At 40.0% G+C, this 27,711-nt stretch overlaps 1 protein-coding gene across 1 annotated transcript in view, besides 3 other annotated features; it reads right to left on the reverse strand.

Moving 5' to 3' along the window:
- Positions 1 to 3,106: 3,106 nt before the first annotated feature.
- The window catches only part of YWHAQ (tyrosine 3-monooxygenase/tryptophan 5-monooxygenase activation protein theta), a 47,031-nt gene continuing 22,426 nt past the window's right edge, over positions 3,107 to 27,711 (reverse strand). Inside the window, exons 3-6 of the mRNA NM_006826.4 lie at positions 10,532 to 10,655; positions 7,305 to 7,468; positions 6,554 to 6,649; positions 3,107 to 4,485 (exon numbers count right to left, since the gene is read on the reverse strand). Of these exons, the coding sequence (NP_006817.1) occupies positions 4,426 to 4,485; positions 6,554 to 6,649; positions 7,305 to 7,468; positions 10,532 to 10,655 (444 nt within the window). The 3' untranslated portion in view covers positions 3,107 to 4,425. The remainder of the gene's footprint in view (positions 4,486 to 6,553; positions 6,650 to 7,304; positions 7,469 to 10,531; positions 10,656 to 27,711) is intronic.
- Positions 26,956 to 27,035: an enhancer, noted in NCBI's record as "active region_15280". NCBI's record gives its function as "activates an Ori minimal core promoter by ATAC-STARR-seq in GM12878 lymphoblastoid cells {active_cell/tissue: GM12878}" and the evidence as "EXISTENCE:reporter gene assay evidence [ECO:0000049][PMID:35858748]".
- Positions 27,086 to 27,185: an enhancer, noted in NCBI's record as "active region_15281". NCBI's record gives its function as "activates an Ori minimal core promoter by ATAC-STARR-seq in GM12878 lymphoblastoid cells {active_cell/tissue: GM12878}" and the evidence as "EXISTENCE:reporter gene assay evidence [ECO:0000049][PMID:35858748]".
- Positions 27,306 to 27,355: an enhancer, noted in NCBI's record as "active region_15282". NCBI's record gives its function as "activates an Ori minimal core promoter by ATAC-STARR-seq in GM12878 lymphoblastoid cells {active_cell/tissue: GM12878}" and the evidence as "EXISTENCE:reporter gene assay evidence [ECO:0000049][PMID:35858748]".

The following is a 27,711-nucleotide window of genomic DNA, read 5'->3' on the forward strand; positions in this document are numbered from 1 at the left end:
AACTACAAAAATTAGCCATGCGCGGTGGAGGGCACCTGTAATCCCAGCTACTCAGGAGGCTGAGGGAGGAGAATCGTTTGAACCCGTGAGGTAGAGGCTGCAGTGAGCTGAGTTTGTGCCATTGCACTCCAGCCTGGGCAACAAGAGTGAAACTCCGTCTCAAAAAAAAAAAAAAAAAAAAAGTAAACATGCAAAATTGCCTTCATCAGTTTAAAGTGAAAGTCTTTCTAAACCATAAAGAATGATTGTTACTTTTAAAATATATCTAATGACATGAACCTACAGTGAGACTCATCATTGGACAAAAAGTCACGTCTGTTCGTCTGTAATAGGCCTAATATTTCTGAATGACTCAACTCCTAAAAATTAGCCCATCTCAAAATCAGTGACCAAGATTCTGATCTTCTCAAATTATTTTACTCTTCAGTTGTAGTTTTTATGCATCTTTAAATGGCCTTCCTAATATTTTCACCATTTTTTAAGAAGTCTCTACTGATACATATTTAAGCTACAAGGTATGAGTATATTCTACCAACCGTGTCAAAAGAACTTACTGATCTTTGCCAACCAAAGATTAACAAATGAATGTACAAATATGTTGAAATAAAAATCTCTCGATTCTATTCTGTTAGAATGCAATTTAAAAAATTATTATTAATATCTACCTAAATGCCATTAAGAAAAAACTGCCAAGTTCTAACTACAAAATAGGTGCAATATTTAAAATTTCTGATCTCAGAAAATAATTTAAAAACTTAAAGACAAAGCTGATAGATTTAAATCCTCCCCCCATCCCAAAACTTTACTTACACTCTTTTCCTCAGGAAAGGTGTCCTCTCTCCTACTGAGTTCTTAGCGGTATTCTATATCCTCTTCCTCTAGTGCAAGGAAGCCCAAAAAGCAGTCCAAAGGAGATACCACAGGCTGAGCCCGCTTTTAAAAGATGCAGAGCTTTTCTAAAGCAAGGAGACGTTTCAAGTTGGGACTAAATGCTGAGAATAATCTTTTTTTTTTTTTTTCTTTTTTGAGACAGTCTTGCTCTGTCACCCAGGCTGGAGTGCAGTGGCGTGATCTCCGCTCACTGCAACCTCCGCCTCCCAGATTCAAGCGATTCTGCTGCCTCAGCCTCCCAAGTAGCTGGGATTACAGGCCTATACCACCAAGGCTGGCTAATTTTTGAATTTTTATTTTCATTATTTTTTGAGACAGAGTCTTCCTGTCACCCAGGCTGGAGTGCAGTGGCACAATCTCAGCTCACTGCAACCTCTGCCCTGCAGACTCAAGTGATTCTCCTGCCTCAGCCTCCTGAGTAGCTGGGATTACAGGCATGTGCCACCACACCTGGCTATTTTTTTTCCCCCAAGACGGAGTCTTGCTCTGTCACCCAGGCTGGAGTGCTGTGGCGCGATCTCGGCTCACTGCAACCTCTGCCTCCCAGGTTCAAGCAATTCTCCTACCTCAGCCTCCTGAGTAGCTGGGATTACAGGTGCCCACCACCATGCCTCACTACTTTTCTTCTATTTTTAGTAGAGATGGGGTTTAACCATGTTGGCCAGGCTGGTCTCAAACTCCTGACCTTGTGATCCACCCACCTCGGCTTCCCAAAGTGCTGGGATGACAGGCGTGAGCCACTGCACCCAGCCATTTTTTTGTATTTTCAGTAGAGATGGCGTTTCACTATGTTGGCCAGGCTGGTCTTGAACTCCTGACCTCAAGTGATCCACCCGCCTCAACCTCCCAAAGTGCTGGGATTACAGGTGTGAGCCACTGTGCCCAGCCTAATTTTTGTATTTTTAATAGAGACAGGGTTTCACCATATTGGCCAGGCTGGTCTTGACCTCCTGACCTCAAATGATCTGCCCGCCTCAGCCTCCCATAGTGCTGGGATTACAGGCATGAGCCAACGCGCCTGGCTAGAAAATAATCTATTCTTTAAGGCCACTTTGATAACATAATTCATTACTCAGCACATACCATTTTACTGGTCTTAAGAAATGATCATTTTTTCTCAATTCAAAATGTTATTTTTACTATGATTTTTATTTAAAAAGTAGTGTCCTGATTTAAATTTTGGGATACCAGAGTCCTACTGAATTCTGCCTTTTCATTTCCCCTTAGAAAACAAGTATAGGTCGGGCGTGGTGGCTCATGCCTGTAATCCTAGCATTTTGGGAAGCTCAGGCAGGTGGATCACCTGAGGTCAGGAGTTCAAGACCAGCCTGGCCAACATGGTGAAACCCCGTCTCTACTAAAAATAAAAAAAATTAGCCGGGTGTGGTGGCGGGTGCCTGTAATCCCAGCTACTCGGGAGGCTGAGGCAGGAGAATCTGTTGAACCCAGAAGGCGGAGGTTGTGGTGAGCCAAGATCGCACCACTGCACTCTTAGCCTGGGCAACAGAGTGAAACTCTGTCTCAAAAAAAAAAAAAAAAAAAAAAAAGGGAAAAAAGAAAAGAAAAGAAAACAACTATAAATGAAGCCTTGTTTCATATTCACATTTTAGGATCAAGAAGAATCCTACATAGCTATTTTTTCAGATTATCTTCTGACTTAAAAATCAGTTCTCAAGTCATTCAGTCTCAGTTATTTTACTAATCTGAGATTGGTTAGTAAAATAATAGCTATTGTGATACTATAAAACCAAAATTATTTTGAACTCACTAATAGTAAGATTGAATGTTTACAAACAGAAGCATAGAGTCCCCAACTTAATTTTTTGACTTTACAATGGTGTGGAAATGACAGGCATTCAGTAGAAAGCATACTTCAAGTACCTATACAATCAATGGTTTTCACTTTCAGTGTTCAACAAATTACCTGAGAGATCCAACGCTTTAGTATAAAGTAGGCTTCATGTTCTTTGATTTTGCCCAACTGTAGGGCTAAGTGTTCTGGGCACATTTAATGTAGGATAGGTTAAGCTATAATGTTCATTAGGTCAGGTGTATTCAGTGCAGTTTTGACTTCGTATTTTCAACTTGCAATGGGTTTATCAGGGTGTAGCCCCATTTTAAGTTGAGGAGTATCTGTGTCTGAACTCTTACATTCCTTTTGAATATCCACTGAAGCACAATTCTAATAACAGCCAAGGCACTCACAATCACATAATTAACTTTGCTAGTTTTAAAATGTCCACTTTATTCCATATAACACTTAACCAGATATCATTTACATCTGAGGAAGAGATGGCCCATGAGACTGATCTATAGTAAAACACTCTAAGAAATGCAGTCCAATTTTATACACTTCCAGGCATCCCTAGACAAGTGTGTCACAATGCACAATGTGGAAATATAGGTATCACTACTACATTTTACATAAAAGGGAAGTATCAATAAACTTTAGAAAGTAGTAAATTCACCTGTCCCTTAAAATATGGGTATGCAATTGTTACAAAGCCATAGTAAATGGTTTATAAAATGTACTTTTATTTTATGTTACTCTGCTGTTACATAGGGCATAACATTTTCACAAGGCTTTTTTGGGACTACAGTCAATGATTAGCAACACACAATAGTGGTCCAACTCTCTAAATAACAATCACTAGACAAACTGGACACCCTCTCACATGTGCACAAATCTGCATGGAAAAGTACTAAAGTTTTAGACTTGGACTTGTGTACTTTAATTTATTTCCCCTTTCTAGTGTATTAAGAAATGACATGCACTTTAATTTGCCAAAAGCAATGCTTGTATTCTGGCAGCAACATGCTACTTCTATCACATAGTAAAGTGAATACCAGAACTACAAAGGCAGGAGGTGTAAGTGAATTTTTATTGGGAGGGGAGGTTGGCAACTTAAACAGCAGCAAATAAAGAGTGAATAAGGAAACTCCCTGTTGCCACAGATACACAAGACCTCCGTATGTGATACAGGAGCCATTTCAATTTGTGACCCCTAGACAGAGATGGCAAGTGCTTTTCCATTCAATCTAATACTTCCGGATTCCTACTAAAAAGGAATACATTAAGAGCATGGAAAAGTTGCTTACTGAAAGGAAACCCCCGAAGAGTAAGGGAGGGAATGTAGAAATTAAGAAGTTATGTGGAATACTCTTTAAATTGTAATTAACTACATTTTCTTATTTTCACAGTAATACAAAACACAGTCACTTGCAGAACTGGTTCAGATTACTTAAATACCAGATACATTTTTAGTCCTCTACATAAGTGTTTGGGAGTTACTTATGTTTATATGAAATGAAGCTATTAATACTTTTCTACAGCAGTACTGCACACCAGGAAGGCCAAGACAAACACAAATCAAGGAATGAAGTTTTCCCAAAGCTGCAGTGTGAAAAGACTATAAACAGTTGATTCCATACACATGAATGGGTTTCTTTGCTATAGGAAATCCAAGTGGAATAAGGAATGGAGATGTGTAAAAAGGTTTCTTGAAGGAAAGAAGGATGACACCCTGTATGGATTTAGTTTTCAGCCCCTTCTGCCGCATCACATTCTTCTCCTGCACTGTCTGATGTCCAAAGCTAGAAAAAGAAGAATCATATTAAGTTACTATTTCTAGATTAGGCAATTACACTAAGTAGTATTGTTATATCAAAATTAACTACAAGAGTAGTAAATTCCTCAAACAATGGAGATCTTGACTAAGACTGAAGTTCTCTCTCAAAACCCCAAAGACCATCACCTTCCCAAAGTACATCCTTGCAGACCTTTCACTATGCACTTACAAAATGACATACATACATACATACATATACCACTGGAGCATGGTTTTATAGCTTCCTTTTTATTTAAAAAGCATTTGGCCAGGCACAGTGGCTCACGCCTGTAATCTCAGCACGTAGGGAGGCCAAGATGAGAAGATCGCATGAGGCCAGGAGTTCAACAGCCTGGACAACATAGCAAGATCCCACGTCTACAAAAAATTTCAAAAACAAAATTGGCCAGGTACGGGGTGGTGTGTGCCTACAGTCCTAACTACTCAGGAGGCTGAGGCAGGAGGACTGCTTGAATCCAGGAGGTTGAGGCTGGAGTGATCCATGATTATGACACTGCACTCCAGCCTAGGCAACAGGGTGAGATCCTTTCTCAAAAAAAAAAAAAAAAAAGAGAAACTTTTTTAAAAAGGCACTCTACTTTCAGAATAAGCAAAGTGATAGTCTCTATTCCCAGCAGCCCAATGCTCTTCTTGAAAGCACTACTGCATTATTATTACAGACTAATAAAGCAAAACATTTTCACAGGGAGGAAAAAGCCACAATCATGGTTAACAATTTTCAAGTGTGTGAAGGGCTAAACTATAGGAAAAGCAGACTTACTTTGTGTTTCTCCAAGAATTAAATAGAAGTGGGTGATGGAAGCTACAGGGAAGCAATGTGTGCATGTATAGACAGGGTTCTTGAATTAGACAGAATGTTAAAACTAAGTGGATCTTCCAGGATCTCTCTGATTTTAGGATAGGAAGATGAAGTGAAGAAGAGAAGTCAGTATTTATTGACTATAATTGCACTTTATTAGACCAACAGCAAGACATTAGTGTTAATTTCAGAAAAGCCAGAATCTTACATAATCCTTAGATTATTATGAAGATACTAAATAAAAACAAACAAAACAAAATCCCCCAAAGACCTGTCTCCATAATAGAGATAACAAAACAAAACCGATTAAAAGATAGTTAGCTCCAAGGTATACATCTGGGAAGAGGTATAACTGCCTAATTTGCTCTTCCTCTGTAGAACTATTTGCTGATCATCTTCCATTGTCCCCTCACAACCACAGGCACTTCTCATGGCTAGAAATGCAGGGTCTTCGTTCCCCTTTCAGTGGATTCATAATTACCCTATTCAGCAAAATTGAATAGACATGGTGCTAATATTTAAAAAATCCTATCTAGTAAATGATAAAGCACCAAACTAGGGGGCTGGGAGGACGAGATCTATATTAAAAGATTTGTTCCCTTCTTTTTCCTTCTGTGAAGTCTAAGATTTTACCTATCAAATTTACTTGAACCTACAAAAGAATGTTAAAGTAAAGCTTAAGCTGTACTTTTTCTTGATTACTTCCTTTATCAATTGCCTATCTAAGAAGCAGGGAGAAAAAGACAAACAAAACAGAAGCTTTTGCCTAGAAGCAGAGAAGGAGTAAGTTTAGGTATAGGTTTACTCCCTAAATGCTTGTAGAACATCATGCACAATTCACAAAGTAAACTTTTATTAGAACAAGGTACTTCCTGTGATTTTAAGAAAGCGTAGATATTTAGATAGTCCCTAACTGGCTATAGCTGATTTGCCCCAAAATATTGAAACTTGATAAGCTCTTTATTAACATAATTTATCAACATCTTCATCCCAATGAAATAGTAATATTAATATTGAGTTCCTATCATGTTAGAACCTTCTCAGGAAGGTCTGATAAAATGCCTATTCAACTTGAAAACCTGCCTACAAAATAATGTTCGTCCCATAAAATACTAACACGTATCTCATACTTTCAGCTCGTATGTATCTTCCCTAAAAGACACGAAGTCCAAAATAAAATATAAATACTTTTGTTTCTGAAAAGAAAATAAAATTAAAAGAGTAAACAACTCACTGTTAGGTTGTCTCTAAGCAACTGCATGATGAGGGTGCTGTCTTTGTATGAGTCTTCATTCAGTGTATCAAGTTCAGCAATGGCCTCATCAAAAGCCTGATAAATATTAATATCCATGGTAAAATATGTGCATTGACGAAAACTGGTTATTCTACAATTACAAACCATTTTTACAAAATAAGTGAACACCCACCTTATGTTCTACCATCAACAAACTCAACAGAACCATTCTCTCACACTCCCAGTTTAAGAACTTATGAGTATGACTGGAATTTTATAAAACTATACACTTAGTAAACAAGCATGTCTTGGTTCTTTCACAGGACAACGGAACAGCAGCAATGCTTAACAGACTTCTTTCCAGTTAAGTAGTACTTATCTCTACAGGGTCCTCTTTATTCTCTCGTTTTGAGCCACTTTGAGGAATGTGGCTGATGCACAGCTATTCTAGTAACCAAACCTGGCAGGCATGACTTTCTAATCTTTTATGTTTCCTTCTTAACATCATTTATCCTTCTTTGATTACTCTGCTCAGTATGCTCTGTAGGCACATCACTGCTTATAATCATAGGGTAGAGTAAGGTGTCAGGGGTAGGAGTAGGTAATCATGATGGGAAGAAAAAGAGGAGATTTCAAAATAAATATAGTAGAAATCATCCCTGGGTATCCAAGTAAAATACCTATAAATTAACATACCTGGTATCTCAAATAACTGTAGCTAAAGTACGTATTTCCTGGACACACATCTTACCGTTTTAGCCAGCGTGCAGGCAAGCTCTGGGTTATTAAGAATCTCATAGTAAAATACAGAAAAGTTAAGAGCAAGCCCCAGGCGGATTGGGTGTGTGGGTTGCATCTCTTTCTTGCTTATATCAAATGCCTCTTGGTAAGCTCCTTGGGAATTATCTATCGTTTCTGTGAAGAGCGAAAAATAAGAAGTGCAATATTAAAAATAACCATCCAGTACACAGTACATTAACAACTTGAACATATGCTACTAGCTCTTGGTAGAACCAAGATTTTTTCTCTGTATGGGTCTTTTAAAATCATGGTAGCTAACAAAAAACATTATCGTGGCCAGGCGCGGTGGCTCACGCCTATAATCCCAGCACTTTGGGAGGCCGAGGTGGGTGGATCACTTGAGATCAGGAGTTCAAGACCAGTCTAGCCAACATGGCGAAACCCCATCTCTACTAAAAATACAAAAATTAGCCAGGCGTGATGGCGGGCATCTGTAATCCCAGCTACTCAGGAGGCTGAGGCATGAGAATCGCTTGAACCTGGGAGGCTGAGGTTGCAGTGAGCCGACATCACACCACTGCACTCCAGCTTGGGCAACAGAACGATACTCTGTGTCAAAAACAAACAAACAAAAACAATATTGTGTACTGGGTATTTAAGAACTTGTTTATGGCCAGGTGCAGTGGCTCATGCCTCTAATCCCAACACTTTGGGAAGGTGAGGCAGGGGGATCACTTGAACCTGAAGAGTTCAAGACCAGCCTGGGCAACACAGGGAGATCTTATCCCTGTCTCTACAAAAAATAATAATAATAAAAAATAGCTAGGCATGGTAGTGCGTGCCTGTAGCTCTAGCTACTTGGGAGGCTGAGGTGGGAGGACCCCTTGAGCCCAGGAGGTTGAAGCTGCAGTGAGCCAAGATCATGCTGCTGCACTCCCAACCTCAGTGACAGTTTGTCTCAAACAAACAAACAAAACAAAAAACCAGTTTAGAATGTTGCTTACATATAAACAGCTTAATGGAAAAAAAACATGAGATATTATAGTAAATCAGACTTTTTTCCATACCTAGGCTAAAACTATTTTCTTATTTTATGTCTTTTAATTCTATTACTTGGAAATGCAGCAATTAAAAATAATTTGACTGGAATAATTTACAGTGGCTCACGCCTGTAATCCTAACACTTTGGGAGGCTGAGGCAGGCAGATCACCTGAGGTTGGAGGTACAAGACCAGCCTTACCAACATGGAGAAACCCCGTCTCTACTAATAATACAAAAATTAGATGGGAGTGGTGATGCATGCCTGTAATCCCAGCTACTTGGGAGGCTAGGCACAAGCCTCACTTGAACCCGGGAGGCGGAGCTTACGGTGAGCCAAGATCGCGCCATTGCACTTCAACCTGGGCAACAAGAGCAAAACTCCATTCAAAATTAATAATAATAATAATAATTTGACTGGAATACCCTTTCCCTAAATAATGTAAACTTTACAAAGATCATCAACACCAAAATCTCTATTTTTCTGATTTGCAGAAATACTGATTCTTAGTATCAAGTGGTATTATTTGAAAGGCAATATAAAAGTTTCAATAAATAGGACAAAATCTGCTCTGACCAGAGTTTGATTACTAGCCTAATTAAAATGTTACTCCCCCTTCAAAAAATGTTCAGTATTACCAACACTAATCTGATTATACCCATGTTTTGAAAAGGGTAGTTTTCTGTATGAGGCCACTGGCCTATTACAGCTTTAGAGATACTGACGTAAGAGAATTAAGCTATCCCTTTATGACCTGAATTATGTTCATTTTCTTTCCTCTGAAATGGCACATTTATTGATCTAATCCCTGACTGGTACAGCCCACATGCAATAAGAAGTTCTTGCAGCTTGGCAAATTAGGAAGCACCAGTGTCTCAGCAATTAGGCTATAAAGACAGCCTATCTATGAATCGCAGCCTATCAGAATGTACACAGGACTACGTGTGAGACCTGAAAGTGCCAATGAGCTCCTAAGGGTTAAATCAGGTTAAAGCTACAGCTATGTCTCAATCTCCCAAATACTTCTCTTTGGCTTTCTGATACTTAAATGTACAGTTCCGTGCCCGTATCATGTCCAATTCTGCTTACCTTCATGGCAACAGAAATTACACATCAGTAACAGAATAAGTAAGTTTAGTATATAGATTTTGTTATAGCAAGGTATAACAGTTTCTCAGGTACAAGTTCTCTTTATATATTCAGTTACACTGATATTTAGGATGGCAAAACTCTCATTTTCAGATCATAGTAACTATTTGTAGGGGTATATCTTTGTAGACAGGGCAAAATTAAGAACAAAACAACAAACTTACTGGAAAAAATAAGGACTGACACTTCTAATACCTAGAACTTGATAAATCTGGTAGCAAGCACATACACTAAATTTAATGAGATCTATCTTATATTCAGCTGCCAGTATCCCAAGAGACATTCACTGCAAATAAATTCACTTCACTTTTTTATTATCAAGTTAGGCAATTCGGTCACTTTTTCTCATATCCATGTTTTCTATGATAGTCTAGGTTAAAAAAAAAAGGTATTTAATACTAAAATCTATTTTTATGACCACTACTTGATTAATCAACAGTTCCTGTATATTCAACCTTCTCAAGTAAAACCTAACCATGAGTCATTCAAACTTACTGTGAAGTTGGAGCAAGTTATACACCAGCAATAACACACTCATTTCACCTCTCCTCAGAAATCTGATTATATGTAATTAGCAGTCAATGTTATGACCCCTTAAAATAGACGATAATGAATATGACAAACAGCAAAAGCACAACAACCTGTTTCCACGTTCTGTATGTAATTTCCAGTGATCTGAAGTTTTAAGGCATAATAGAAAGGCCATGTGAAATGCAGAATCACTCATAAAGTTTACACAAAAAACTCTGGAGCTAAAAATATGGTGAACCAAAATTCTAAAAAGCATAAAAGATTAATCCTGTTTTAAATAATACCATATGAGATTACAGAGTTCACAGATGAGCTTAATTTTTTTAAAGAGCATGTGATGTAAATTTATAATCCAATTTTCATTTTTGAGAACATAAGGTAATACTAATTTTCTTGACATACATTCAATTATTAAGTCACAAAGAGCCTGAAGACTACGTATACTGTCATAGTGTCCCATTTATCCCCATTTCTTTTTTTTATATTCTACTTTTGCCCATATAACAAATAAACTTACGTTTTCGATCATCACCACACGCAACTTCAGCAAGGTACCGGAAGTAATCACCCTTCATTTTCAGATAGAAGACCTTACTCTCTGGATTAGTTGCATTGGCTATTAAATATTTATCCAACAATTCCTGAAATAAATAAGACAGAACATTAGGCACTAAACTTCTGCCTACTGTGCATTATCATTAAATGATAAAACTTCTGCCTAGCGGGCATTTCAATCATTTACTACTACAGTAATACTATACCATACCAGCCTGGACTTGAAGCATGTTCTTAGAGCAGGGGTTAGGTTGTTGCCACTAGTTGCCCTGGGAGGCTTTAAATGATGTAGCCTATAGTTTCTAATGGTAAGGCTAGATTCTAGATTACACCAAACATTGTAATTTGAAACAGCCTATCTGTTCACTCATCCATTCATTCAACATTTACTCATACCTGCTAGGTGCTATAACGGATATAGAGAAGACTTAAAATCAGGCCCCTGCCCTCAAGAAGCTCACCGTCTGTAAGTACACCAACTACATACCAAGAACTAAGAAAGATGTGAATACGGTGCTAAGGAAGCACACAGATGGAGTAGCTCTGCTGGAGATGGCCTCCAGTTAAGACAGGCTTCCCAGGGAAAGAGTATTTGAGGCATGAAGAAGGAAAAGTAGAAATGCACCAAACAGAAAACAGGGATGTGCACTCATTTTAGGGACGGGAAACAAAATGTTTAAAACATCAAGTACGAGGGAGAATAGTGCTACTCAGTGCCCTTTGCATTCAAGTATCCATCTAAAATGAGGTAAATACAGGAATCGAGAGTAAGAGGTTTAGAAACTTGCACAGCAATTTAAAAGAATAATTTTAGGTCTACGAAATCTAATTATTTTTTTAAAAAAGTTCTTGAGTATGTCTTTTGTCCCTAATTTCATACAAAGAAATTTTCACTTCTAGTACATGGTATGCTATGCCTTGGAGTATAAAAAGTCACAAAAGACAAATATGATAGAAATCTTCTTAGATTCCATTTTTCTTGATGCTAGGTCATCCATTTAAAAACCTTTTTAGGGCCGGGCGCGGTGGCTCACGGCTGTAATCCCAGCACTTTAGGATGCCAAGGCGGGCAGATAACAAGGTCAGGAGTTCGAGACCAGCCTGGCCAACATAATGAAACCCCGTCTCTACTAAAAATACAAAAAATTAGCCAAGCGTGATGGTGGGCACCTGTAATCCCAGCTACTCAGGAGGCTGAGGCAGGAGAATTGCTTGAACCTGGGAGGTGGAGGTTGCAGTGAGCCGAGATCATGCTACTGCACTGCAGCCCGGGTGACAGTGTGGACTCCATCTCAAAAAACAAAAACAAAAACAAAAAAAGCTTTTTTGTATTAAATATTACAAAGCAAAATGAAATTCTCATAAAAATGTTAAGATACTAATACCTACTTCATTGGTTTGTTTTGAGAATAAAACCAGTAACAGATGTCAAAGCCTGGAATAGTGTCACATGTTAAGTACTCAGTAAATGTTAGCTAGTATCAGCCTAGGTACACAGTTTGAAAAGCACTGCTCTAGGAAAAGTGAAACTAGTGAACGTTTTAAAGCAGGGAAGAGAGAAGATCCTTTTTACATTTTGGAAAAATAACCACAGATACGCTCAGTTAATATTATATAAAATACCATCCATGATACCAAGTTGGCAAGTCTGGAGAATTAACAAGTAAGGTTGAGTCAAATTCACATAACTGCTAAAGAAAAGGAAGGCTGTTTATAAATTTAAAAATATACAATTCTAACCAAGAACTTTCTTCTTGTTTATCTGACTAAAAGTGGTCTAACAAAATGCAATCACTGCATCCATGTCTTTTTTTTTTTTTTTTTTTTTGAGACAAAGTCTCACTCTGTTGCCCAGGCTAGAGTGCAGTGGTGATTCTCAAATGATTCTCCTGCCTCAGCCTCCCGAGCAGCTGGGACTACAGGCGCACACCACCACGCCCAGCTTACTTTTGTATTTTTAGTAGAGACAGGGTTTCACCATGTTGACCAGGCTGGTCTCAAACTCCTGACCTCAAGTGATCTGCCCACCTCGGCCTCCCAAAGTACTGGGATTACAGGCGTGAGCCACTGCGCCTGGCCCATAAGTTATTTTTAAAGAAAATAAACAGAGGCTGCGTACAACAGCTCACACCTACCATCCAAGCACTCTGGGAAGTAGAGGCAGAGGCAAGAGGATTGCCTGAGAGCCCAGGAGTTTGAGACCAGCCTGGGCAACATAATGGGACCCTGTCTCTACAAAGAATTTTAAAAAAATTAGGTGTGGTGGCATACACCTGTAATCCCAGCTACTTGGAAGGCTGAGGCAGAAGGAAGGCTTAAACCCCGGGGGTGGAGGCTGCAGTGAGCCATGATCGTGCCACTGCATTCCAGCCTGGGAGACAGAGCAAAAGAGATCCTGTCTGTCTCTAAAAGAAAAAAACCAGAAAAACATTAAAAATCCTTTAATTGAAAAAATATTTTAAATAGATTAAAAAAAATATATATATATATATATACACACACACACACACACACTTTTTTAAGGGCCTGAGGCCAGAGGAAGTTAAAACACACACACACACACACACACACGCACGCACAAAAAATTAGTATAAAATTATGTATCGAAGTCTCAGAAGTTTATGCATTATAGAAGTCATGAGTATCAAAATTGTGGCTCAAGTTGGAAAGTTGCTGAGCCAGGAGTGTGGCAAAAGAGGTCATTAGGGCCACACCCAAATTAAAGGCAACTGTGACAAGTGCTGCTCCAGTATCACTACACTCTTAACTGTAAAAACAACAGACAAATCAGTTTTTCAGAATTTATTGTGCTCAACATCACCAATATAATTTTAATAGTTTTTTAATAAACTGAGACACTCGAATCTTAAAAAATTATATTACTTTAACTTTTTCCTCTATTACCATTTTCATGTATTATGGATGACTTTCAATTTAAAAACTATTTTTATGAACTGAATTTAGGGTTGTGGTGGAAGGAGGAGGGTAGGAGGCAATAGTGAGATAGTCACAAAAAAAGTTCTAGATCTCAAACTGACTCAGTCATTGGTATCTTTAAATGAGTGGATTCTGAGAAGTAGTATCAAAGAAGGCAAACATAGTATTTATACCGAGAGAAATACCACCTCTGCCTGTACCCACACCAAGGAACTCTAATGTAAAGTAAGATGCCTCTCACTTTTCTTGTTCCTCCAAGTGAGTCAGTCAGTTACAATGAAATTCCACAGGATCTCCAAAAAGATGCCAGCTCTGGTGAAGATATTATTTATGGTCACAAAAAAAGCTACTCAGTACCTTTAAGACCTAGTGCTCTGTTAACTGTGGTAGATTTGTAAGAGCAGGGGCTGAGAAAAGTCTGACTAGAACAATGGCTTAGGGTGAGGAGTAGGGAAGAGAGAAATTTCCATTCTAGCACTAGTCTCTCCTGAGTCACTCATGCTAGATGTGTGGGTGTTCTCAAGGACTGTGGACAAAGGGCCTTCCAAGGATTCAGAAAGCTGCCAAACAGCTACTGCATTCATTACAACACAGCCACTTATGAGCTAACCTCTTCTTTCTAAAATTATTAACTTTGACTACTAGTTTGCATATAACCATTACGTATGATTTACAGTGTTGGGCTTTTACAAAGTGACTTGGGCATTACTTCCATCCTGGAGTTTCAGCCAGGTATCATGGTTCTTTGTCAGATGCCACTAGCTCTCTGTGAAGGAAACAACAGGTACAGAATAGTTCCGTCTTTCCATATACTATCAGTAGTAAAGATGTATACTTTAGCTCAACTAAAAGACATAATGGAGTCTGCTTCATGTCTTTCCCAAATAATCAAGTCTGTATCTGTATTATCAATACCAAATATTATTAATGCCAGATAGAATATAGCCTATAAATGTATAATATTTTAAAATTATTGTAAAAAACACGGATCAGAGACCAAAAACCCCAAACTGACACATAACTCCCTGAAAGTCTTTCCCAGAAGTCAGGAGCGAGGGCCAGGTGCCGTGACTCATGCCTGTTATCCCAGCACTTTGGGAGGCCGAGATGGGTGGATCACTTGAGGTCAGGAGTTCAAGACCAGCCTGACCACCACGGTGAAACCCCATTTCTACTAAAAATACAAAATTAGCCGGGTATGGTGACACATGCCTGTAATCCCAGCTATTTGGGAGGCTGACACAGGAGAACTGCTTGAACCCAGGAGGCAGAAGTTCCAGTGAGCTGAGATATTGCACTCCAGCCTGGGCAACAAGAGCAAAATTCCATCTCAAAAAAAAAAAAAAAAAAAAAGTCACCAGACGGGAGTATAGTTAGATGTTCCCCCACTGATTTCTTCTGTACGTTATTCTTATCAATTAAGCAGGAGCTCCCCCTTGTAAACTCGTTAGCAAATTTTATTATCTTGGGAGTTTTGGTGGGCTAAGACTGAAGGTCCCTCTGGTGCTGACAGTGTTACTTGACTGAGGGTAAAATGTGGATGGTAGTGTGTTCCTTTTTGAGAATTTGAAAACTAAGAGGTCAATGTACTACCCACAATAAAAGATGAACTAGTAATTTGGAACACTCTAGACCAAAGAAACAAGGAAAGTGAAAGGAAAGAATGTAAGTTATTATAGAGGTTGCTTTAGGAAATGCTAAAGGAACTCAGAATAAGTTTAATCTTAGAAAAATAGGATGGGAACAATAGACTATAACACAAAAGCTATAAAGAATAATATAAGAAATGAAACTGTTGAGAAATAATATTAATGCAAATTTAGAACAGTAACTATTCCTCCTTTCCCCCACCCCCATATCTTAGGAAAAAAAGGCTTCCAGAAGAACAACAAAACCCCCATACGATCTTCAAGAGTTAACTATTGTATAAAACAATCCTACCGTCACTTCAACCACTTTTTCAAAATAATTTATTTGGTTTCAGTGGCAAAATTCTGTAACACTCAACAAATTAATCTTTTAATTCTAAATTCATTTATAAGCGATTTCCATTTTACAGAGTAAATAAGCTACTCTATTGAAGAAAGAGTAGGTAACTGTTATGAAAAGCCTTAAAATACACGCAAAATAACAGGAAGCAAAAAAATGTTCTAAGAAGTTTCATTTTCCTAATAGTTTACTGAGGTTCATTAGCAAACACACTATTAACATGCTGAATCTCTAACTTTAGGATACACATATCAGTCATTATTTCTATATTATCAGTTAACCAGCATATTAATAGACCCTAAAATGGAGCATTTCTAAGAAAGATAAAGCCAAATCTAAGCTAGAGATTTTTTTTTTCCCCCTTGAGACCGAGTCTCACTCTGCCAACCCAGACTGAAGCGCAGTGGCTCAATCTCAGCTCACCTGCATCCTTCGCCTCCCGGTTCAAGCGATTCTTTGGCCTCAGCCTCCCCAAGTAACTGGGATAGGGTTTCACCATGGCTGGTCTCGAACTCCTGACCTCAAGGGATCCGCCCTCTTCAGTCTCCCAAAGTGCTAGGATTACAGGCCTGAGCCACGGTGCCCAGCTTAGAGATTTAATCAGTAAAACAAAAAAGGGACAGAGTAACTCTGTGTTATGTGTCAGAATATATGAGTTTTAGAAATTAGATTGTAATTTGTGGAACTTTTATACTATCGTTAGCTCTATAATCTTGTAGGAAATCACACCTTCTCAAGTGTCTGTCTCTGTAACTATGTGATGAGACTATTATGATCTAAAGGTCTCTGGTCTCAGAAACTACCATTTTATGACTATACCTGTTAGAATTAAATCTCATAAAGGATTTGTTGCCTTAACCAAGGAGGCAGTGAATCACCTAAGACTTAATCCAAGTTGATCATATAACATCAATTCATCTATGGAAATATTTTCGATCATTAATAAAATGAATGCATTAAACAGTCAAGTGTCCTTGTGTTATTTTTAAATGTTACTCTAAGAATTGTTGGGGCAGACACAGTGGCTCACGCCTATAATGCCAGCACTTTGGGAGGCCGGGGTGGGCGGATCACGAGGTCAGGAGTTCGAGACCACCCTGGCCAACACGGTGAAACCCCGTCGCTACTAAAAATACAAAAATTAGCCAGGCGTGGTGGCAGGCACCTGTAATCCCAGCTACTCGGGAGGCTGAGGCAGGAGAATCGCTTGAAACTGAAAGGCAGAGGGTTGCAGTGAGACAAGATCACCTGCCTGGGCAAAAGAGCGAAACTCCGTCTCAAAAAAAAAAAAAAAAAAAGAAAAAGAAAAAAAAATTGTTAAGACTTAGAATCCAAGAATGATGAATCAACCCCATTCTGGTGCCCATGTTAAGTTCATTTTCAAAAAAATGAAGTATGGAATGAAGTAAAAATTTTCAGAGATAGAAGCAAACCTTTTTTTTTTTTTTATTGAGACAGAGTTTCACTCTTGTTGCCCAGGCTGGAGTGCAATGGTGCGATCTCGCCCAGGCTGGAGTGCAATGGCATGATCTCGGCTCACCGCAACCTCTGCCTCCCAGGTTCAAGCAATTCTCCTGCCTCAGCCTCCCGAGTAACTGGGACTACAGGCATGCACCACCATGCCGGGCTATTTTTTTTTTTTTTTTTTTTTTTTTTTTAGTAGAGACAAGGTTTCTCCATGTTGGTCAGGCTGGTCTCAAACTCCCGACTTCAGGTGGTCCGCCTGCCTTGGCCTCCCAATGTTGGGATTACAGGCATGAGCCACCGCACCCAGCCAGAAGCAAACCTTATAACCAATGCGACTGATCCTATATGCTGTGGGATTTAGCGGACACCACACAGAAGACATCAGTCAAACTCAAGTTGCAAAGCCTAATCAGATCCTTACATCCTTGTATCCACAAGGTTAAAACTTTTCATTTAATCCTATACCAAATTCCAAACCTCTACAACCACATTTTAACAATGAGGTATACTGGAGTAGTAAAGTGACCATGTGACCTGGCTGCCCAGGACCATTCCAGTTTAAGCCCACTGTCCTAGCAGACAGATCTCATTTTATTGTCTTTTGCTCTACTGCTCTTTTGCAGATACTGTGGTGTGTTTTTGTTGTTTTAACCAATTGAAGGTTTGTAGCAACACTGAATCAAGCATGTCTATCAGAGCCAATTTCCACCAGCGTGTGCTCAACTTCATGTCTCTGTGGCACATTTTGGTAATTCTCCCAATATTTCAAACTTTTTATGATTATTTTATCTGCTATGGCAATCTGTGATCGGTGGTCATTAACGTTACTACTGTAATTGTTTTGGGGTACCAGAATGCATGCCCACACAAGATGGTAAACTTAATCGATATATGCTGTGTCTGTTCTGACTGCTCCAACAATGGGGTGCTCCCAATCTCTTCTGTCTCCTCTGGCTTACCTATTCCCTGAGACACAAAAATATTAAAATTAGACCAATTAATAACCCTACAATGGCCTTTAATTAAGTGTTCAAGTGAAAAGATGAGTTACATGTCTCTTACTTACAAAAGCTAGAAATAATTAAACTTAGTGAGGAAGGCATGTCGAAAGCCAAGACAAGCTAAAGCTGGGCCTCTTGTACCAAACAGCAATGTCGTAAGTGCAAAGAAAGAGCTCTTGAAGGAAATTAAAAGTGCTACCCCAGTGAACACACAAATGATAAGAAAGCAAAACAGACTTATTGATGATATGGAGAAAACTTTATGTGGTCTGAATAGAAGCTGAGGCCAGCCACAACATTCCTTTAAATCAAAGCCTAATCCAGAGCAAGGCCTTAATTCTCTTCAATTCAGTGAAGGCTGAGAGAAGTAAGGAAGCTGCATAAGAAAAATTTGAAGCTAGGAGAGGTTGATTCATGAGGTTGACCGAAAGAAGTCACCTCCAGAACATAAAAGTACAAGCTGAAGGTACAAGTGCGAATGTAGAGCTGCAGTAAGTTATCCAGAAGATCTAGCTAATATCACTGATGAATGAAGATGGCTACACAAAATACCATATTTCCAATGTAGAGGAAACAGCCTCATACCAGAAGATGCCATCAAGTACTTTCATAGGAGGTCAGTATCTGGCTTTAAAGGAAGGCTGACTCTTCAGAGCTAATTGCAGCTGGTGACTTTAAGATGAAGCCAATGCTCATTTAGCATTCCAAAAATCCTAGGGTCCTTAAGAATTATGCTAAATCTACTCTGCCTGCACTCTACAAATGGAACAACCAACCAAGCCTGGATGACGGCATCTGTTTACAAAATGCTTCACTGAATATTTTAAGTCCATTGTTGAGACCTACTGCTCAGAAAAAAAAGATTCCTTTCAAATTATAATTGCTCATTGACAATGCAGCACCTGTTTACCAAAGAGCTCTGAGGGAGATGTACAAGATTAATGCTGTTTTCATGCCTGCTCACATAAAACAACATCCATTCTGCAGCCCATAGATCAAGGAGTAATTTCAACTTTCAAGTGGAATTATTTAAGAAATACATTTCGTAAGGCCATAGCTGTCATAGACAGTGGTTCTTCTGACAGATCTGGGAAAATAAATTGAAAACCACCTAGAAAGGATTCACCATTCTAGATGCCATTAAGAAGATTTGTGATTCATGGGAAGAAGTCAAAATATTAACATTAACAACAGTTTGGAAGAAGCTGATTTCTACTCTCATGAATGACTTTGAGGACTTTTAAGATTTCAGTGGAAATCTTCCACCTGCAGATGTGGTAGAAACAGGAAGAGAAATACTAGAATTAGAAATGGAGCCTGAAGATGTGACTGAATTGCTGCAAACTCATGTTAAAACTTGAACAGATGAGAACTTGCTTCTCATGGATGAGCAAAGAAAGTGGTTTCTTGAGAAGGATCTACTTCTGGTGAAGATGCCATTAACACCGTTGAAATGACAACAAAGGACTGAAAACACTGCATAAACTTAGTTGATAGAGCAGTGGCAGGGTTTGAGAGGATTGCCTCTGATTTTGAAAGAAATTCTATTCTAGCTGAGATGGCATCAAACAGCATCACATGCTATAGAAAAATCGTTTGAGGGCCGGGTGTGGTGACTCATGCCTATAATCCCAGCACTTGAGAGGCCCAAGCGGGCAGATCACCTGAGGTCAGGAGTTCAAGACCAGCCTGACCAACATGGAGAAACCCCATCTCTACTAAAAATACAAAATTAGTTGGGTGTGGTGGTGCATGCCTGTAATCCCAGCTACTTGGGAGGCTAAAGAAGGAGAATTGATTGAACCCGGGAGGCAGAGGTTGTGGTGAGCCGAGGTCGCGCCATTGCACTCCAGCCTGGGCAACAAGAGCGAAACTCTGTCTCAAAAAAAAAGAAAAAAGAAAAAAGAAAAATCTTTTGTGAAAGGAAGCACAAACTGATGCAGCAAACTTCACTGTTGTCTTATTTTAAGCAATTGCCACGGCCACCCCCAACCAGTCAGCAACCATCAACATGGAGGCAAGACCCTCCACCAGCAAAAAGATAAGGACTTCTAAAGGCTTAGATGATCGATTTCTTGGCAATTAAGTATTTTCTATTTAAGGTACATACGCTGGTTTTTAGACAAAATGCTATTGTGCACTTAACAGACTACAGTATAGTGTAAGCATGACTTTTATACACTGTAGGGAACCAAAAATTTCTGTGACTTGCTTTATTGAGATAATTCACTCAATTGTGGTGGTCTACAACCAAATCTGCAATTATTAATGCTATTTATTTTCATTCTTAGAAATATCCCACTTTGGAAGACATTGTGTGGTCATCCTGTAGATAAGACATTAATATTATAATTCAGGCCGGTCATGGTGGCTCAAGCCTGTAATCCCAGCACTTTGGGAAGCCATGGTGGGTGGATCACCTGAAGTCAAGGGTTTGAGACCAGCCTGGCCAACATGGTGAAACCCCGTCTCTACTAATAATACAAAAATTAGCTGGGTGTGGTGGCGCACGCCTGTAATCCCAGCTACTCGGGAGGCTGAGGCAGAACTGCTTGAACCCAGGAGGCAGAGGTTGCAGTGAGCAGTGAGCCAGAATTGCACCACTGCATTCCAGCCTGGACAACAAGAGTGAAACTCCACCTCAAAAAAACAAACAAACAAAAAATATTATAATTCAAAATTATTACTTCAATACTTAAAAGGTAAAAAATGAATCATCCTGGTGTACCATTTAACGTTCATATAAAAGGTAATAAAACTTCCTTAGGCATACACTGAGAACCACACACGTGATGCCATCCATAACTAAGAGCAGTTCTTAAGATTGTTTTTTTTTTTTTGAGACAGAATCTCACTCTGTCACCCAGGTTGGAGTGCAGTGGTGTGATCTTAGCTCATTGCAACCTCTGCCTCCCGGGTTCAAGCGATTCTCCGGCCTCAGCCTCCTGTGTAGCTGGGATTACAGGTACTCACCACCTTGCTCGGCTAATTTCTTTTTGTATTTTTAGCAGACGGGGTTTTGCTGTGTTGGCCAGGGTGGTCTCGATCTCCTGACCTCAGATGATTTGCCTGCCTCGGCCTCCCAAAGTGCTGGGATTACAGGCATGAGCCACCATGCCTGGCTGGTTCTTAAGATTAATAAAAACAAAAAGTTGTCTATATATCAAATGAACAGATACTAATTCAGACAACGAACCATAATATTAACCTCAGTAATGCCAAAAAATAAAGCAACTTTAGTAATGATACATTAGAGCTTTTAATTTGTAAATATCCTTTCCCTCCTCCTCTATTCACTTATCCTTTAATATAATAACTCCTGGCCAGGTGTGGTGGCTCATGCCTAAAATTCCGGCACTTTGGGAGGCCAAGGAATGAGGATCACTTGTAGCCAGGAGTTCCAGATTAGTCTGGGCAGCTAAGCATGATCTTGTCTCTACCAAAAATTAAAAAATTAGCCAGGCATGGTGCCTCATGCCTGTAAGTCCCAGCTACTTAGGAGGGTTGTTTGTACCCAGATGTTCAAGGCTGCAGTGACCTATGATCACACCACTGCACTCCAGCCTGGGTGACAGAGCAAGACCCTGTCTCAATAAATAAATAAATAAAAATAAGTCCTTTAATAACATTTTATGCCTCCTTAACTAAGTTAAAATGAAACTAGTAGCTAATAATACACCTACGCACATTTTTTTTTTAAACAGCTACTCCTGAGTAGCTAGGAGTACAGGTGAGTCCCACCACCCAGCTGTCTCCCCCAGCCTGGAACGGAGTGCAGTGCAGTGATCACAGCTTACTGCATCCTTGAACTCCTGGACTCAAGGGATCCTCCCACCTTAGCCCTACTATAGGCACAGGCTACCACGCCCAGCTAATTGTTTTTATATTTTGGAGAGACAGGGTCTCATCATCTTGCACAGACTGGTAACTCCTAGGCTCAAGTGGTCCTCCTGCCTCAGCCTCCCAAAATGCTGGGATTACAGGTGTGAACCACCATGCCTAATTTAAAAAAAAAAAAAAAAAAAAAAAAAAAAAAAAAATATATATATATATATATATATATATATATATATATATATAGTAGGGACACAGTCTTGCTATGTTGCCTAGGCTGGTCTTGAACTTCTGGCCTCAAGTGATCCTCCTGCTTCGGCCTCCCCAAGTGTTGAACTTACAGGCATAAGCCACCTCACCTGACTGAGGAACACTTTTAAAATGTACATTTATCTCCTAAGGTATAAGGAACAAAGTAATTTTTAATAAAACAGTATTTTCAATAGGTAAACATTCATATAGCTAAAGTATAAACACAACGTAGTCAGATATCTGCCTCTAAGAATCAACAACAACAAACAACCTTCAAATACAGACTTACAATCTGTTCAAATATCATGAATGGCCTGACCAGTCAAGTTACAAGCAAAACAAAGTACAATTCTCCCTTGAATTTTTTTTTTTTTTTTTGAGCTGGAGTCTCGCTCTGTTGCCCGGGCTGAAGTGCAGTGACACGATCTCAGCTCACTGCAACCCCAACTTCCCAGGTTCAAGCAATTCTTGAGCCTCAGCCTCCCGAGTAACTGGGATTACAGGCACGCATAATCATGCCTGGCTAATTTTTCTAATTTTTTTTTAGAAGAGACGGGGTTTCTCCATGTTGGCCAGGCTGGTCTCAAACTCCTGACCTCAGATGATCCTCCTGCCTCAGCCTCCCAAAGTGCTGTGATTACGGGCATGAGCCACCATGCCTGGCTTTCCTTGATTTTTACACAGTAGATGCATTCCTGGTTAATTCTGTATGTTATTAAAACCATAAAATAGGCCAGGCATGGTGGCTCACACCTGGTAATCCCAACACTTCGGGAGGCTGAGGCAGATGGATCATTCGCGGTCAGGAGTTCGAGAGCAGCCTGGCTAGCATGGTGAAACTCCCCTCTATTAAAAATACTAAAAAACTAGCTGGGCGTGGTGGTGTACACCTGTAATCCCAGCTACTTGGGAGGCTGAGGCAAGGGAATCTCTTTAACCCAGGAGGAGGAGGTCACAGTGAGCTGAGATCACGCCACTGCACTCCAGCCTGGACGACAGAGTGACACTCCATCTCAACAACAACAAAACCCATAAACTAAAACTTTGTCTTTAAATGTAAAGCCAAATTAGGCTTTGGCCTCAGATAGCTCCTCTAAGTTTTTTACCTAACTGAAAGAACAGCTGGACAATTCCTTACACAGGCCTGGGCTCCTATGTGTTAAAGGATGTGTAGCACCACTGACCTCTGTCCAAAGTCAGTGCTACGCTCCCCACCTGAGCAGAAACACTGAGAGAACGGGTATATACAAGTGCTATGGGAGCTCAAAATAAAAAATAATTATTTAATTATGGAGTTAGAAGAATTTTTCTTAAGGTAACAAACGAGAGACAGAAAATACGGGGGGAAAAGGTATTCCAAGGCGAAGACTGGCATTTGAAAAGGTTTATCTGCACTAAGATGTAGAAAGTCACTGAAGGTGACTTTCTTTATAAAAGAAAGAAATTTCAATCACAAAGAGAACTAAAGACACCAATATTTCACAGTATTCACTATGAATTATATTTGACTGACTCAGTGGAATAAGCACTGGGCCAGTAATTTGGTTTTAGAGTATGAGTTTAGATCAAGTTCCTCAGTTTCATCTCCTCTTCTACAAAACACATTTGACCCTTGAACACAGGTTTGAACTTTATGGGTCCACTTTTCTACGGATTTTTTCCAGTCAGGCCTCCCTATCAGCAGGTTCTACAACCACAACCAAACATGGATCACAAACACAGTATTAAGGAGACGCAAAACCTGCATGTAAGGAGGGCCGGCTTTTTGAACCCACAGGTTCCAGAGGGCTGAAGAAGGAACTTGCGTATGTGTGGATTTCAGTATTCAAGGAGGTGCTGAAACCAATTCCCCTCAGATACAGAGCGATGGTTATAATAAAAAAAAATTCTCCAGTTTTAAGAATCTACAGTAATTCTGAAGCACTAAACCAAAACGGCAAACTCTTAAGCAGATGAACTCAATAAAAATGTTTTCTCAGTTATTTTTCATTCACAAAATGTAGCACAGTGTCTATCACATAGTAGGACTCATTATTTGTCAAATGAACATCAGCCATGGCCTGGCAACATGTTGAAATGGATGCAACAGAAGTGGAATTTCATACAGAATACTACTTTGAAATGATATGTGAATTATTTTATTTATTTTGATCAAAGTCATAATGTGTAATAGGTTAAGACTACTCAAAAATTCCTAAGAAAAAATGATAGTTTCCCCATTCTGTTCTCTCTTTTTTTTTTTTTTTTGAGACAGGGTCTCACTCTGTTGCTCATGCTAGAATACAGTGGCATCATCTCAGCTCACTGCAGCAGCAACTTCTAGGCTCGAGTAATCCTCCCACCTCAGCCTCCCAAGTAGCTGGGACCACAGGCGCATACCACCACATCTGGCTAATTTTTGTATTTTTTTGTAGAGATGGGGTTTTGCCATTTTACCCAGGCTGGTAACTACTGAGCTCAAGTGATCCTCCCACGTCAGCCTCTCAAAGTGCTGGGATTACAGGCATGAGGCCACCACACCCCAGCCTCTGCTCTGTTTCTAAGCTCCTTCAGGGAATACTTTTTTAAAAAAATCCTCACTTGATATGTCCAATTCTTGTCCCCTGCCCAAGGCAGCCATCATTTACTAGTTTCTTGTACATTCTTTTTGTTGTTGTTGTTTTGTTTCTGAGACAGGGTCTCAATGCATCGCCCATGCTGGAGTGCAGTGGTGCGATCTCGGCTCACTGCAACCTCTGCTTCCCGGGTTCAGGCAATTCTCCCACCTCAGCCTCCCCAGTAGCTGGGACTACAGGTGTGCACCACCATGACCGGCTAATTTTTTTTTTTTTTTGGTAGAGGGGGGTTTTCACCATGTTGGCCAGGCTGGTCTCCAACTCCTGACTCAAGTGATCTGCCCGCTGTGGCCTCCCAAAATGCTGCGATTACAGGCTTGAGCCACCGCGCCCAGCCTCTTGTACATTCTTTTAAGGATTCAAAACATTTAAAATCTATGTATGTTCCCCTCTCCCTCATGTTAGCACACTACACATTATTCTACACCTTAGCTTTTCCATTTAGTAAGCGCTCTGAGATAATTCCATGTCCATATATTTAATAGCTGCCTCATTCTATATATAACACTATATGTACAGTATTCTACTGTATGGGCACCCTAATTATTTATTTAGCTTCCTCTGAGGAACACTTAAGCTGCTTCCAATCTTGGTATTTCCAACTATGCACCAAATGTACACTTGATCCACAAGATAAATTGTTAAACTGTCCTTCCTGGAGTTAATTTCAATTTATACTCCCACTAGCAATGCATAAATGTTCCCATTTCTCAACATCTTTCTGAACCCAGTGTGTAACAAACTTTAAACACCTTTTCCGGCCAGGCTTGGTGGCTCATGCCTGTAATCCCAGCACTTTGGGAGGCCAAGGCAGGCAGACTGCCTGAGCTCAGGAGTTTGTGACCAGCCTGGGAAACACGGTGAAACCCCGTCTCTACTAAAATAAAAATAAAAATAAAAATAAAAATAAAAAACCTTTTCCAATCTAATGGGTGAAAAATACCTTACTACAGTTTTATTAGCATTTTTCCTTATCATAAATGCAGGTGAACATCTGTCTGTGTGTGTGTGTGTATATTTTTTGAGACGGAGTCTCGCTCTGTTGCCCAGCCTGGAGTGCAGTGGTGTGATATCGGCTCACTGCAACCTCCGCCACTCAGGTTCACGCCATTATCCTGCCTCAGCCTCCTGAGTAGCTGGGATTACAGGCACATGCCGCCACACTGGGCTAATTTCTGTATTTTTACTAGAGAAGGGGTTTCACCATGTTGGTGAGTGTATATCCTTTGCCCTTTTCCTAATGAGTTTTTCCTTACTGCTTTGTAGGAACTCTATATACTAATTAGTTCATTTTTTAGCTGTCTCTCAGATGAAACTATATGTAAACAGCCTGTCTGGCAACACAACTGCATTTAATATTTTTCTTTTTTTTTTTTTTGAGACAGAGTCTCACTCTGTCGCCCAGGCTGCAGTGCAGTAGCATAATCTTGGCTCACTGCAACCTCCACCTCCCGGGTTCAAGCGATTCTCCCGCCTCAGCCTCCCAAGTAGCTGGGATTACACGTGCGCGACACCATACCCGGCTAATTTTTGTATTTTAGTAGAGATGGGGTTTCACCATGTTGGTCATGCTGGTCTCGAACTCCTGACCTGTGATCCGCCCATCTTGGCCTTCCAAAGTGCTGGGATTACAGGCGTGAGCCACACGCCTGGCCTAATATTTTTCTATTACTTTTTTTTTTCTTTTTTTTTTTGAGACAGGGTTTTGCTCTGTTGCCCAGGCTGGAGTGCAGTGGTGTGATCTCGGCTCACTGCAACGTCCACCTCCCAGGTTCAAGTGATTCTCCTGCCTCAGCCGCTCGAGTAGCTGGGACTAACAGGCACATACCACCATGCCCAGCTAATTTTTTTTTTTTTTGTATTTTTAGTAGACTGAATTTCACCATGCTGGCTAGGCTAATCTCGAACTCCTGACCTCGTGATCCACCCCCCTCGGCTTCCCAAAGTGCTAGGATTACAGGCGTGAGCCATCGTACCTGGCATTTTTCTATTACATTAAATCAGATAAAACAGTACCAACACTTCTGACCGACATGAGAAACGCAAGTGAATATGACTGTGATTTCAGCACAAATAAAATAGACAAAGAGGAGACTTTTAGTTGAAATGCAAGTCTGAATTTGTGTTTATTGTCTACCTGACCATATGAAATGGTAACACATTTTAAAGGTTACTAAATTCTTCCTCTTTTTTTTTTTTTTTTTTGAGACAGAGTCTCAGTCTGTCACCCAGGCTGGAGTGCAGTGGCATAATCTCGGCTCACTGCAACCTCTGCCTCCTGGGTTCAAGCAATTCTCCTGCCTCAGCCTCCCAAGTAGCTGGGACTACAGGTACCAGCTACCACGCCTGGCTATTTCTTGTATTTTTAGTAGAGACGGGGTTTTCGCCATGTCAGCCAGGCTGGTCTCGAACTCCTGACGTAATCCGCCCACCTCAGCCTCCCAAAGTGCTGGTATTACAGGCGTGAGCCACCGAGCCTGGCCAAATGTTACTAATTTTAGAGCAATAAAGAGCAGTATATCAGATTAAAACACACTGCATTCACTTTCAGTATGGAGTACTTAAGAAATGTGTGACTCACAACCTTAAAATAGATTCACAGAAACATGACTTTCTGGTTCCGGCAACACAGTGAGACTGAGCTTACGGAGAATACCTCCCTCTTCTACTAAAAATAATCTAAATGCTAAGTAGAAATACTTTAAATAAAAATAGAAAAAACATACAGTAGAGCTTCAAAGAAAAGAGGGGAAATACATCGAGGCGCTAGATAGGAGGAAAGAAAGCTACAGCAATAAGTGAAAGTTTACAACACAACAACAGTGTGGAGGAGGGTGAGGACCCTAGAAAAACTTTGTCATCGCTGAGAAGTAGCCAGAAATCTACTTCCTGGGTTTTTGGGGGTGCAGTCTCCCATAAAAAGCAGAAACTCGAACCTATGTTCTTCTGTGCAGGTGCTAGTCAAACGTTTATTTCATGCATGATGTATGAAAACACAAGCTGAAAATGTTAAAAATGGGCTGGAGCACAGTGTGCCCAGCACAAAT

Source organism: Homo sapiens, chromosome 2 (genome assembly GCF_000001405.40).
Source record: "Homo sapiens chromosome 2, GRCh38.p14 Primary Assembly".
NCBI classification, from domain to species: domain Eukaryota; kingdom Metazoa; phylum Chordata; class Mammalia; order Primates; family Hominidae; genus Homo; species Homo sapiens.